Raw genomic sequence first — 15,088 nt, 5'->3', positions numbered from 1 at the left:
TTCCCTTCTGTACTGCCCTAGCAGAGGTTCTCCATGAGGGCTCTGCCCCTGCAGGAAACTTCTGAATGGACATCCAGGCATTTCCATATATCCTCTGAAATCAAGGCAGAGGTTCCCAAACCTCAGTTCATGACTTCCGTGCACCCACAGTCTCAACACCACATGGAAGTCACCAAGGCTTAGAGCTTGCACCCTCTGAACCAATGGCCTGAGCTGTACCTTGGCCTCTTTTAGCCACAGCTGGAGCTGAAGCACCTGGGACACAGGACACCATGTCCTGAGGCTGCACAGAGCAGGGTGGCCCTGGGCCTGGCCCAGGAAACCATTGATCCCTCCTAGGCCTCCAGGCCTATGATGGGAGGGGCTGCCATGAAGGTCTCTCACATGCCCCGGAGACATTTTTCCCATTGTCTTGGTGATTAACATTCAGCTCCTCGCTACTTATGCAAATTTCTTCAGCAGGCTTGAATTTCTCCCCAGAAAATGGGGTTTTCCTTTCTGTCACATCATCAGGCTGCAAATTTTCTAAATTTTTATGCTCTGCTTCCTCTTGAACATTTTGCCACCTAGAAATTTCTTCCACCAAATACCCTAAATCATCTCTCTGAAGTTCAAAGTTCCACAGATCTCTAGGGCTGGGGCACAATGCTGCCAATCTCTTGTCATAGCAAGAGTGACCTTTACTACAGTTCCCAACAAGTTCCTCATCTCCATCTAAGACCACCTCAGCCTGGATTTCATTGTCCCTATCACTATCAGCATTTTGGTCAAAGCCATTCAACAAGCCTCTGGGAAGTTCCAAACTTTCCCACATTCTCATGTCTTCTTCTGAGCCCTCCAAACTGTTCCAACCTCTTCCTGTTACCCAGTTCCAAAGTCACTTCCACATTTTCAGGTATCTTTATAGCAACACCTCACTACTCCTGGTACCAATTTACTGTATTAGTCCTTTCTCACACTGCTATGAAGAAATACCCGAGTCTGGGTAATTTATAAACAAAAGAGGTTTAATTGACTCACAGTTCCTCATGGCTGGGGAGGCCTCAGGAAACTTACAATCATAGTAGAAGGGGAAGCACACACATCCTTCTTCACATGGTGGCAGGAGAAAGAAGTGCAGCACAAAGGGGGAAAAGCACCCTATAAAACCATCATGTCTCATGAGAACTTACTGTCATGAGAACAGCATGGAGATAGCTACCCCCATGATTCAATTACCTCCCACTGGGTCCCTTCCACAACATGTGTGGATTATGGGAACTACAATTCAAGATGAGATTTGGATGAGGACACAGCCAAACCATATCAGAGTCTCACAAGTGGGGTGAGCAGACCCTCAGAGATTCAGAAGGACCAACAGGCTGTAACTTCCAAGAGTTTGCTCTCTGAGCCCTGAGACTGGGAGACAGTCTTGCTGCAGGCTGTACCCTATTGGCTCTCCTCCCACTGCCATGCTGACTGTGGCAAACACACCAGTCGCTGTTGCCATCTGTTCCAACTTGGCCACCTGGAACCATGCTGAAACTTGGGCCCTCTCCCAGTTTGGCAGAGCAGTCCCCAGGGCCTTCTGAGTCCAGATTGACTCATGCCTGCCACTAGCCATTTCTTGGAAGGCTCCCTCTGTGGCGGCCATGACAGCACTTCCTCTTCCTGGCCGCCAGAATCCATCTGTAACAACCATGGCTGCTTTTCCACTCAAAACACCACTTCCTACAGATATCAGGGGTTCACTCATTAACCAAACCTCCCTTCTTTCCCCCCACATATACTAATTCATGCCACAATCCCCCACCACCTGGCAAAATCAGAAGGCCTTCATGCTCCAGGAAAGCCCTTCAGGACACCTTGAAAATGGACTCATGACTTATTCTCTAGCCCCTCTCCATGTCTGATCCTGTGGTGGGCACCAGGCACATATTCCCTGTGGGCAGTTAGAGGAGGAGCTCACAGGAACATGTAAGTGCAGAGTAGGAGCCAGGGTGTGAGTGAGGGCTCAACTAACAGGAATGTGATGCTCCTCACCACTACCAAGGAAGTAATCTAGGGTATGGGTGACGTCGCTACCTTTAGGGAAAAGGTGGAATCAGAAAAACTGGGCCACCCAGACCAGCAGAGCAGCAAGATGGCCTTCCCAGTTCCCAGAGACTGGCACCCAAGGATTTCATTTTTCAAATCATGCATGTTAAAAAGAAATATCAGGGCACATGCAACATGAATCCCACTGGACACACCAGACACAGCTGGAAGGTGATTCCATTAATACTACAAAAGCGCTCTCAGTGCAGTTTTCCTGGAATGTCTTTTCTAAAGGCCTTTCCAAGTGAACACCATGGCAAATCTGAGCACTGGTTAAAGCAGTTTTTGCTCAGATGTGATGCAAAGCCTTGCCCCAGACCCTCAGTTGTATTTCCCATACTCCTCTTTCCACTTCCCTTTTCTACAGGCTTTTGCCCATGGAAGTGCAGAGGGAAGAGGTCAGCCTGGGAGCTCAAAGGTTGGCTTGGAGGTTCAGCTTCTGGCTCACCAGCCCTGGGAACATGAGCATGTTACTGTGCCCCTCTGCACCTGCCTCCCTTTCTGCCCCATGGGCACAGCGGTTCATGAAGAGGAAGCAACGTTCACAGTGCCTTTTAACATTTGAAACTGACAGACCCGTCTCTCTTCCATTGCCTAGTTTCTCACTTTCTGTGACTTTTCCTGGTGACAGCAACTCTCCACATACATGCCACCTGGGAATGACTGCAGGTTTAATGTCAAATTTAATAAAATGTCAGATCATATTACCCTGGGAATCACAGCAAAATGTTTAAAGTTGAGGCTCTGCGGCCTCACACTGACACCTGCTTCCTTCACTCCTTTCCTGTGCCCCATGGCCTTGTAGCCTTTCTTTTTCCCTTATCAAAGCCTGTGATGCAGTGATGACTGTGTCTCTTGCTGAAAGCCTTAGCAACACCCTCCCAAGGGCTTTTAGATATAGTTCAAGGAAGTGGCCAACAGATGGCACTATTCTCATTAGCGCAAGCCAGGTGAGCTGAGAAAAGAGGCGTTTCACCAAACAGCTTTGACAAAATTAGCTTTCTGTAATTGAATAGCCCATAAGAATGAGATAATAGGTTTGAAAAGTTATACAAGGTGTACGATCTTAAGCAAATAAGAACCTATGAGGTGGTTATGTTCTTTTAATTCCTACACACACTACAACAGAGATTTGCAAACAAGACTGGAGACTCAGATACCCAGATAAGTCACAAGGACCTTCTCAGAACACCAATAAACACTGGGAGATGGTTCAACCCCCTGTTTTACATTAGGCACCATGTGGTTCAAGCAGGCTTTGGAGGGAGAAACCAGCTGGGCTTAAATCCTGGCTTTCCAGGTTATGAGCTGGGTGACTTTGGCAGATCCCTCATACTCTTGGCTTCACTTTCTTCATTTGTAAAATAATGAGTAATTCATAGGGTTCTATGAGGAAACAATGAAATAATGTACACAAGTAAATATTTATTACGGTGCCTGTATTAGTTTCCTAGAAATGTGGAAAGAAATTACTACAAACTGGGTCACTTAAAACAACAAAAATGAAAGGAGGCAGAGCAGGATGGCTGAATACAAGCCTCCAGTGATCAGTCCCCATGCAGGAGACCAAACTGAACAACTATCCACACAAAAAAAGTACTTCCATAAGAACCAAAAATCAAATGAACAATCATAGTACCTGGTTTTAACATCCTATTAAAAAAGAAACAATGTTGAAGGCCGAGGCGGGCAGATCATGAGGTCAAGAGTTCAAGACCAGTCTGGCCAACATGGTGAAACCCCGTCTCTACTAAGAAGACAAAAATTAGCTGAACGTGATGGCGCGTGCTTGTAATCCCAGCTACTCGGGAGGACCCAGAGGTGGAGGTTGCAGTGAGCCAAGATCGTGCCATTGCACTCCAGCCTGGGCAACACAGCAAGACTCTGTCTCAAAAAAAAAAAAAGCAATAAAGGGGGTAGGAAACACAGTCTTGAATCACCTACACCACCCCTCCTTCATTCCACAGGGGTGGTTGTGTGGCATGGAGAGAGAATCTGTGCACTTGGGGGAGGGAGAGTGTAGTTATAGTGGGACTTTGCCTTGAAACTCAGTGATCCCCTGTCACAGCAGAAAGCAACATGGGGCGGGAGTCAGCCGGCACCCACAGAGGGAGCATTTAGACCAGCCCTAACCGGAGGAAAATTCCCCATCAAATGGCTGGAACCTGAGTTCCAGCAAGCTTCACCACCACAGGCTAAAGTTATCTGGGATTCTAAATAAACTTGAAATGCAGTCTAGGTCACAAAGCCTGCAATTTCTGTGCAAGTCCTCGTGCTGTGCCTAACTCTTCAACGCCCAGACATGAAAAAACATACACAAGCATCGAAACAATACAAGAAAACACGACCTCACCAAATGAACTAAGTAAGACATCAGTACCAGTCCCAGAGAGACAGAGATATATGACTTTTCAGACAGAGAATTCAAAATAACTATTTTAAGGAAGATCAATGACACCCAAGACAACACAGAGAAGGAATTCAGAATCCTATCAGATAAATTTAACAAAGTGATTAAAATAATTTAAAAGAATCAAGCAGAAATTCTGGAGATTAATAAATCAATTGACATACTAAAGAATGCATCAGAGTCTGTTACTAGCAAAATTGATAAAGCAGAAAAAAGAATTATTGAGCTTGAAGACAGCCTATTTGAAAATACAGAGTCAGAGGAGACAAAAGAAAAAGAATAAAAATGAATGAAGCATGCCTACAAGGTCTACAAAATAGCCTCAAAAGGGCAAATCTAAGAGGTATTGGCCTTAAAAAGGAAGTAGAGAGGTAGCGGTAGATAGTTTATTCAAAGGGATAATCGAGAACTTCCTAAATCTAGAAAAATATATTAATATTCAAGTACAAGGTTACAGAACACCAAGCAGATTTAACCCAAGAAAGACTTTTTCTAATATATTTTATGAGTCCTTATTCATTGAAAATATTATTATGAATGTAATCATTTGGAATATATTGTCTCAATTTCTTTTCATTTTGATTTTCATTTCAAATGAATGTGAATTTTACAATTCATCATGTCGGGGTTTATTATGAAAAATAAAATTCTTGGCTGGGCACAGTGGCTCATGCCTGTAATCCCAGCACTTTGGGAGGCCAAGACAGGTGGATCACCTGAGGTCAGGAGTTCGAGACCAGCCTGACTTACATGGTGAAACCCCATCTCTACTAAAAATACAAAAATTAGCCAAGCATGGTGGCACACGCCTGTAATCACAGCTACTTGGGAGGCTGAGGCACAAGAATCACTTTAACCTGGGAGGAGGAGGTTGCAATGAGCCAAGATCGCACCATTGCACTCCAGCCTGAGCAACAAGAGCGAAACTCCATCTCAAAAATAAATAAATAAATAAAAACAAATATAAAATTCTTGAGATTCTTGTGGCTGATAAGAAGATACAACAAGAATAACAATTTGCATATTATAATGTTTTCGAATGAAGAAATGTTTTCAAATGAAATGAGGTAGAGGTATTTTGAACAAACATTTTGCTGTAAGAGAGATACCCCTCACTTCTGATTTCTGTATCTGTTCTTTAACAAATATATTGAATAGTTCTTAACTATTTAAAAGACAAACTCTAGGCCACTTCAAAAACCTTTTTTTATAGTCTCAGAAATTATAGGTTAACAGTCTAGTGAACTATGGAAGGTGTAATAGGGTTCTCCAGATAAACAGAACCAATAGATAAGAGGAAATTTATTATGGGAATTGGCCCATGCAATTATGGAGGCTGAGAAGTTCCATGATGTGCAGTCAGCAAGCCAGAGAACCAAGAAAGCTGGTGTTGTAACTCAGTCCAAGGTTAAAGGCCTGAAAACCAGAGTAAATCCTGGAGTCTGAAGGCCCAAAAACCAGGAGCTCTCATGTCCCAGGGCAGCAGAGATGGCTTATACCAGCTCCTGAAAAGAGAGCAGATTTGCCTTTTTCCCATCTTTTTATTCTATGCGGGCCCCCAAAGGATTGCATAATGCCCACCTACACTGGTGAGGGATGATCTTCTTTACTCAGTCTACTGATTCAAATGCTAATCTCTTCTGGAAACACCCTTATGAATATATGCAGAAATAATGTTCTATTAGCTTTCTGGATATCCCTTAACCCAGTCAAGATGACATATAAAATTAACAATCACAAATGGCAAAAGGCAAAAAAGAATCAAGGGATTAGAACATTGACAGCAACAGATTCTTCTAAAAGTTTACTGAGTCAACAGAGAAATTACCTCTTATTTTTATCTTTATAAAAATATGGAAAACCTTTCAAATTAATTGGTAGTCTGCAGTCTAACATTCTGCTCCATTGCTATTAACATTTCTTAAACCAGTACACTAGCGTGAATGATGAATCTCATCAGGAGAATCTCTCCTTCCCACTCTTGTTCCCTGGGTAGGTGCATCTCACCTCTATCATTAGTTCTTTGATGACAATCAGTTGCCTGGAGTATTTGTTTTAGCCCAAATCATTACCCTGGAGTATTTTCTAAGATGGGGATGAATAATTCATTTTTTAAAAATGGATATCCTGTTGAACTAGCAGTTTTATTTTCCAACTATACTACTCTATCACTTTATCATAAGTCAAGTAACACTATGTGTGTGAGTCTATTCCTGGATGCTCTACATTCTACTCCATAGTAGTATAACAATGTAAATGTCATTTTTCCAGATAGTCCATTTCCCTGTCAAATTTATGGAATAATCTTATTGTCTTGTTGTTTAAATGGTGTTGGCTTTCTCAAATTTATCTTTTATTTATTAGAGTTTACTTTGGAGCTGGCCTGGTTGTTACATCACACCCAGGGATTGGCACTAAAAGATGAGCTGGAACCTGTCATAGGGTGGGGGGAGGGGGGAGGGATAGCATTAGGAGATATACCTAATGTAAATGATGAGTTAATGGGTGCAGCACACCAACATGGCGCATGTATACATATGTAACAAACCTGCACATTGTGCACATGTACCCTAGAACTTTAAGTATAATAAAAAAAAGAACTTAAAAAAAGTTTTTAATAAATTAAAAAAAAAAAAAGATGAGCTGGAACCAACAACTGTGCCCTTCATAGTTCCATGAGAACTTTGACCTCCTCTTTATGCTCTAGAAACTGAGCCCTGTCAGGAGAAGTATTCATTAGCAGAGAGAACATGCCCCTGTAGAGCAGAAAACAGTTATCTTAGGTAGAGTGACTGCAACCCTATAATGCAGGAAGCAGACTAAAACATCTGAACAGCTCAAAGAGAAATGAATAACCGTTCAAAGATTGGAATAGGGTTCATCACAACAGTGGTCACTACCCACTTGTATATAATATAGTCATTTTAATATATTAATCAAAGGTGAGGACAGTTTGAAGACCTTTTCAGAAATGCACAATCTCAGGAAGTTCACATACCAAGACTCATTCAGGGAAACTACTTAAAGATGTATTACTGCCCAAATGGGGAGAAAAAAGAAGCTTGAGAGTGTAGGGAGTAAAAGGCAAGTAGAGAAGTATCAGAATGACAGCTTGCAGTAAGTCTGGATAGCAACCATGCTGTTAGGAGTGCATGGGTGGAAAACTCCACAAGGAACTCCACTACACAAAAAGAGGAGTGAGGGTTAATAGAATAAACAGTATGCCTGAAGCTCTACATGCTAATTATTAACATTCAGAATTATTCAGTCTGATGACAACACAAGTTCTGAGCACACACACTGTTAATCTGGTGCCACCCTTTAAGAGAACCAGTATGAATTTACAACAGAAATAACTAGAGGAAAATATTTACATAGCACAATATTCTTTAATTTTTCAAAGGAATTTACCATAGGAATCGAGTCTTCTCTAGTGTGATTTCCAAATTATCAACTGCATTCATAAACATTTAAAACATTAGTGCCAACAATAACTAAAGATCCAATTTCTACTCTTCTTCCAGGTCTATACAGTTTGTGAATTTTAATGCCCACCCCTCCACCCTCACCCTACTCTCCACCACCCAAACCTAGACCCTGCTTTACTTATGCACTTTGGTTTTTTTGTTTTTTGTTTTTTGTTTTGTTGTTGTTGTTTGTTTGTTTGTTTCATTTTGTTTTTTTGAGAGAGAGTGTCTCTGTGGCCCAGGCTAGAGTGCAGTGGCACAATCTCGGCTTACTGCAACTCCACTTCCTGGCTTCAAGTGATTATCCTGCCTCAGCCTCCCGAGTAGCTGGGATTACAGGCGCCCGCCACCATACCTGACTAATTTTTGTATTTTTAGTAGAGATGGGGTTTTACCGTGTTGATCAGGCTGGTCTCAAACTCCTGACCTCAGGTGATCTGCAGGTCAGGGAAGGCGGGATCCCAAAGTGCTGGGATTACAGGCATGAGCCACCACGCCCAACCTACTTATGAACTTTGTGTAACATCTGCTTGTTTCTTTTATTTTTGGGGGAGTGGGGGACAATCAGCTTCCTCAGATTGAACAACGTCTGCTTATTTTACTATTGCACTGTGTTGAACCATGTGAAGCTGCCCTTTTTATATGTCACACAGTTGAATTTCAGGAATTTAATATGTGTCAAACTTATGTTACATAATTCTTTGTGTATTTTTATCTCCGCGGACTATGTGATGTTTTTGGAACGTGAATGTTGAAATTCATTTGTATGCTCAACATTTATTTTCTTCTCTCTCTCTCTGTCTGTCTCCACCTCCCCCTTCCTCCCCTTCTCTTACAAGTAAATCCATTCTAGTATGCATCAAATTCTATGACAAACATGACTGCTAACTTCACTGATCATAAGCAATACTTTACTAGAATATTGCTCATGATGATTTCTAATGGTGTATACTAGAGTTAAGAGTAAGATAATAGGGCTAGTTCCAGTTTATGATCCCTTGTTATTACAAGGGATGTCCCTTGGTTTTGCCAATGACAAAATGTTTATGTGAACAATTACCTCATGGAAATAGTTCTTCCTCAAAAATAGAAGTAATGTTATTTCTCCAGTCCTTGTCTATCTCATTGCGGTAGGTATCATGAACAGTATTATAGCTCTAACATTTGTTCTTGCAATTCTCAGAACTGTTAACAGGAAGAGGAAAGTCCTCAAGAGCCAGAGAGTAGAGGTCCTTGATGCACAAAAATCTCCACCTGTCCTAATGCTGCGCGTTCACTGGCATGGCTGTTTTGGGACCTAAGGCCCAACTAGATGAAGCACATCTGCCAGCTACCCCTGAACACTCCATTCACTCCCTCTCAACATTCCTTTCAAACAGCCTCATTTAACACATCTTGCCCAGCTTCCTGACTAGAATTGTATCTCCTTTGCCCCTTTAACTCAATATGGTTCTGGAGTTTAAGACATTAAGTGGCCTATGAATATTGTTCTGGTCTGTTCTGGTGTGGTAAAAAGAAGCTGGACTAGGAGACTGGTTTTACGCCAACAATTACATATGGACACACATTCTTAGTGAGTCCCATTTTACTTATGTGTAAAATGAAGTATTAGAACAAGTGATCTTTAAGAGGTTTTGTTTCCTGCCTAGATCACCTCTTTCCAATCTTTCCAGGAAGTACCCCTAATTGGACATTCTGATATCACTAAGAGATTATTTGAGCACCAGTTTCTTGGGCTGTAAAGGTTGGCACACTGCCCATCACATCACACAGTAAGGCTTAATAATCAAAGGGTAAAATGAATAAATGAATCCTTTAAACAACTCTGCAAAGTGGGTATGTGTTTCCCCACATATAGATGAAGAAATTGTGGCTCAGAGGTTAAATGGCTTACCCAAGTCCCACAGACATTAAGTGACAGGCTTTGGATTTGAACCCAGGGCCATTAAGCTCTTTCTGGTGTACTACACACATCCTGAGCACATAATAAGTGCTAATGTCTGTTCAATTTTTCATTGTATTTTTCTAATTTGATGTTTGTTGCCAAGAACACAGTGTATTGAGTATGTAGATACTTCTCAATAAATATTCTGCCCCATCATGTGAAAGGAACCATTCCAGAAGCTCTGTAAACAAAGACAGACAGCATACTGCTTCTGCTCTTAAGAAGATGGTCACGTTCCAGTGAATTTAATTCAACTAAAATTTTTGAACCAGAATGATCCCCAATCTTGCACCTGCTTATCAAATCATATTTTAACTCAATAAGATATGAATGGTACATAGTAGTTGTCTCTGACCATGTTTCTTGAAATTTTTGGCAGTACCCTAACTAATTTTTCTGGGCATAACTGGGGTTTCCTTTCTAACCAGGTCAGGATACTGAGAGTGTCAAGTAAGTCACAGAGCTGATAAAGTACTGGTGAGACTTCTACTATGAGCAAATAAGAAACAAAGGTTGATTTGAACAATTACTTTTTTCTTTCAAATGACTCCTTAGCACAATTTAGGGATTTCTACTGAAATAGCTTGTTTCATCTTGACCTGGCCCACTACCCTACCAACTCTTGATAACCTCTAGGGAAAAAAAAGGAGGAGGGAGATCCCTAGAGACCACCATAAACACCACAGTGTGGAACTGTAGCTCCATCCTCCTTTCAACTGAATTTCTGCATACCCCATAAGTATTCACTTGGTCATTAATCAAAGATTTGCACAGTAGACTATGTCTATGTCTGTGAAATCCTCTGAGCCTAAAGAAAATGTCTGCCTATCCACTAATTACCAGTATGTTTAAGGCTTGATTTCTAAAGACATTCTAGTGTCCTAGGAAAGTAAATCTTCAAAGGTGTCAAGATCACCCAGATGAAAACATAGTATACTATTTAAGAGGGAAACTAATATGATTTTAAATTCCTGGTCTACCACTCATTAGCTGTGTGACCTTGGGCAAATTACTTAGCCACACTCAGCCTTAGATGCTTGATTTGGAAAAATGAGGATAATAATTGAGGTGGGGGAGGCTGTAGGTATTATAAAAGACAGGGTTTATAAAGCACTGAGTATGGTGCCTGACAAGTAGTAAAGACATAACAAATGATAGCTAAAATTACTATTAGTTACTCTCAGTGTGGCATGAAAGCTCGAAACCTATAATAGGACCTGTGAGTACGGGACCAGAATCCAAGTGGGGCTGAAAAGACACCTTGCCAACAAGGAGCCACCTCTCTTCCATGCATAAGCATGCAGTTTAGATTAGCCAGGCATAGCCATGGTGTTGAGGAGTCTCTCTGCCTTGCTTTGTGATGCAGGACCACAGCTCTCTAAATGCAGGTCAACTCTTCAAATCCAGTTTACCACATAAGGAATTTACCAAACGATCCATTCACTATATTTGCCAAATTTACTGATTATTATGCCTGCAAACAGCTTCAACAAGAACGTTTCATTTTGTTTATTAAAGCTAGAATAAATGTGTTTGAATATTACCTAAGATAATGTGCATATACCTTAGTAAGTGAGGGAAAACTTCAAAATCAGGGACCAGCATAAGTATAAATTGAAATATTCTTGTACCAAACCCTACTTTTCCCATCTAAAATTTTGTTTATACCTGAAAAGCACCTGACTTTTTAAATTTTTCTAAATCTTATTTTCTATTTTTTCAAACCATAATCACTTTGGATTTTCTTTTTCAAATTCTTCAGGTTGATATGTTATTTCTTGGAATTATAAATTAAACTTTAAAATGAATAAATTGAATTTAAATGCTACATTTTAATTCAATTTTAAATTTAAGTTCAATTCATTTGTCTTGGATTAAAGTTTAATTAAAAATTAATTTACAGTCTAAAGCATCTTGAAGAATTAGAATTCGCAATAAAATTTACTGGGCAGACACAGTGACCATGCCTGTAATCCCAGCACTTTGGGAAGCCAAGACAGGAGTATCGCTTGAGCAATAGGAGTTGGAGGCAGGAGCCAAGGCAGGAGTTGGAGAAGCATAGCAACATCTCGTCTCTACAAAAAAATTTTTTAAAAATTTAGCCAGGTGTGGTGGCACACACCTGTAGTCCCAGCCACTCAGGAGGCTGAGGTGGGAGAATCACTTGAGCCCAGGAGATCAAGGCCACAGTGAGCTATGATGGTGCCACTGCACTCCAGCCAGGGCAGCAGAACGAGACTCTGTCCCGAATAAATAAATTAATAAATAATAAAATTTACCTCTAAAGTGTCTATTTAATTAAATTATAATTATATTACAATTACTATCAAAACATGAAGAAAATCAGAATTAGCTCAAAAAAATTGTCAAGTATAAAATGCTGAAATTGAATTCTAGCAAGGAGCATTTAAGATATGCCACCCTGATAAGTTTACATAAAATTCCTCCTGAACATGTTCAAAGAAGTAGAAAGGAAATGGGGATACCCAGAAGAGTTCTATATATATTAGCACTGAAAACCTAAAGCATAGTAACCATACATATAAAATCGTGAGGGGAAAACCAACCAGTTCATTGGTGAAACTCTTTAAAATGCTATAAGTGAATAAATAAATAAATAAATAAATACTATGATGTTGGCAAAACAGACAGTGGCCACAAATATTGGAGAAAAAGCATAACCTACAAACATCGTGGTGAAAATGCTAAAAATTTTACTACAAATATACAGAAGTATAATTCAATAAGCAGAAATATATATTTCACCTTCTGTCATGAGAAATGAACCATTTCTATTAAAGCTGTTTTTAAAAACATTCCTATTCTTTTGCCTCAGTCTTGAACTCTAGCTAGCAGCCTGATATGTGTGCTTCTGTATCTTCAGTAGCCTCCAGTCACCATCAACATTGTGTGGCTTCTTCTGGGACCCACTGTGACACACTGCACAGTCACAAGCGACCATAATGGTGAAGCTTATGATGACTGGTTAAAATTAAGACACACTCAAGAAAATGGCTTATACCCCAAAGAAGATAGAAGAAGATAGTGAAGATGAGGACATGTGAGATGATAAAGATAGCAGCGAAAATGAGCTTATTATACCTCAGGGGGGAAAAGGCAATAAGACACAACTCCGACAAAAGCAACAAGGTTGAAGTTTCCACACCTGTCAAGAAAGCACCTGTCATCCCAGGCAAAATGGCAGCAGATATTGTCAGTCAAGAAGATAGTCGCACTGGGCAAAGCAGCAGCAATATGTGGCAAGAAAGAAGTCACACTGGGAAAAGCAGTTGAGGCAACCACTAGCTAGAAGGGAACCACCACACCAGCTAAGGAGGAAAAGAATACTAAGAATGCCATGATGAGGAAAACAAAAATGACAAAGACAACAAGGAGGACAAAGGTGATGAAGAGGAAAATAACTCTAAAGAAGATGCAATGAATTTACTATAATTTTGATAGGAAAGAAAGTTCATGCAAAATCTCTTCCTGTGAAGGCCAAAAGCATGGTTGAGGACAAGGAGGATGAAGAGGACAGGGACGATGATGAAGATGATGAGAACAATGAGGAAGATGGTGAAGAAGAGGAGAATGAGGGGGAAGACAGTGACAATGATGAGGAAGAGCCTACCAAAGAAGCACCTGGAAAATGGAAGAAGGAAATGTCCAAACAGCAACCAGCTTCCAAAGCCAAGAAATAGAAAATGGATGTCAGTATTAATGGATCTTAGGAGCTTAGCTGTGTGAATTTTGAAACTTCTGACCTGGAAAAAGCCTTGGAACTCACTAGTTCTAAAGCGTTTGGCAATAAAATTAAACCAGAAAAGCCAAAGGGAAAAAATAAGATTGAGATTTCATAACACTTTTATTCAAAATTCTGTCTTGGAGTCATTCAGGATGAATTTAAAGAAGTGTTTGAAGACTCTATGGAGATCAGATTAGTCAGTGACAATGGAAAGAGCAAAGGGATGTCCTACATTGAATTTAAGACAGAAGCTGATGCAGAGAAAACCTTGGAAGGAAAGCAGGGAACAGAAGCCAAAGGGAAGTCTATTTCCCTCTACTAAACTGGAGAAAAAGATCAAAATCAGGACTACAGATGTGAAAAGCGTACCTCTTGGATTAGTACATTGAAAACTGGTTTTAAACAACCTCTCCTAAAATGTAACAGAAGAAACTTTGCAGGAAGTATTTGTGAAGGCAACTTCTATCCAAGGTGCCCCAGAACCACAATGGCAGATCTATAGGGTATGCACTGATAGGATTTGCTTCCTTTGAAAATGCTAAAGAAGCTTTAAATTCCTGTAATAAAAGAGAAATCAAGGGCAGAGCAATCACACTGAAGCTGCAAAGACCCAGAGCAACTAATGCAAAAAGCCAGCCATCTGAAAGTGTTTCTCAGGGTCTGTCTGAGGACACTACAGAAGAAACATTGAAAGAGTTCATTGATGCTTCTGTTCATGTCAGGATAGTCACCAACCAGGATGGGTTTGGTTTCTCGACTGCAGCAGTAAGGAAAATGCTAAATCCACTAAGGAGGCCATGGAAGATGGCAAAATTAATGAAAATGAAGTTACTTTAGACTAGGCCAAGCCTAAAAGCAAAGATGGCTTTGGAGGTGCTGAAGAAGGCAGAAGAGAATTTGGAGGTAAAGGGGGTGGAAGAAGAGGCAAAGGTGGATTTGTTGGCAGAGACCACATAGGATTTGGGGGGCAGAGAGACTTTTCGTTTGTTTTGTTCTTGACACAGAATCTTCCTCTGTCCCCCAGGCTGGAGTGCAATGGCATGATCTTGGCTCACTGCAACCCCTGCCTCCTGAGTTCAAGTGATTCTCCTGCCTCAACCTCCTGAGTAGCTGGGATTACAGGCATGTGCCACTACACTCAGCTAATATTTTTGTATTTTTAGTAAAGATGGGGTTTCACCATGTTGGCCAGGCTGGCCTCGAACTCCTGACCTCAGGTGATCCACCCACCTCGGCCTCCCAAAGTGCTGGGATTACAGGGGTGAGTCACCGCGCCCAGCCAGGCAGAGAGACTTCTGAGGAGGAAAAGAAGGAGGGCATCACAGCCACAATGAAAGAAGATCAAGTTGAAATAGTTTCTTTTATCCCTCAGTCTTTTCTTCTTCCATTCCATTTTACTTTCCATTTGAAAGTAAGGACTCTTGAGTTTTATTACATGATCAATG

At 40.9% G+C, this 15,088-nt stretch overlaps 1 pseudogene; it reads left to right on the top strand.

Moving 5' to 3' along the window:
- NCLP2 (nucleolin pseudogene 2) lies at nucleotides 13,627-14,622 on the top strand (annotated as a pseudogene).

Source organism: Homo sapiens, chromosome X (assembly GCF_000001405.40).
Source record: "Homo sapiens chromosome X, GRCh38.p14 Primary Assembly".
Taxonomy (NCBI): Eukaryota; Metazoa; Chordata; class Mammalia; order Primates; family Hominidae; genus Homo; species Homo sapiens.
This window is presented reverse-complemented; position numbering and strand designations above follow the sequence as displayed.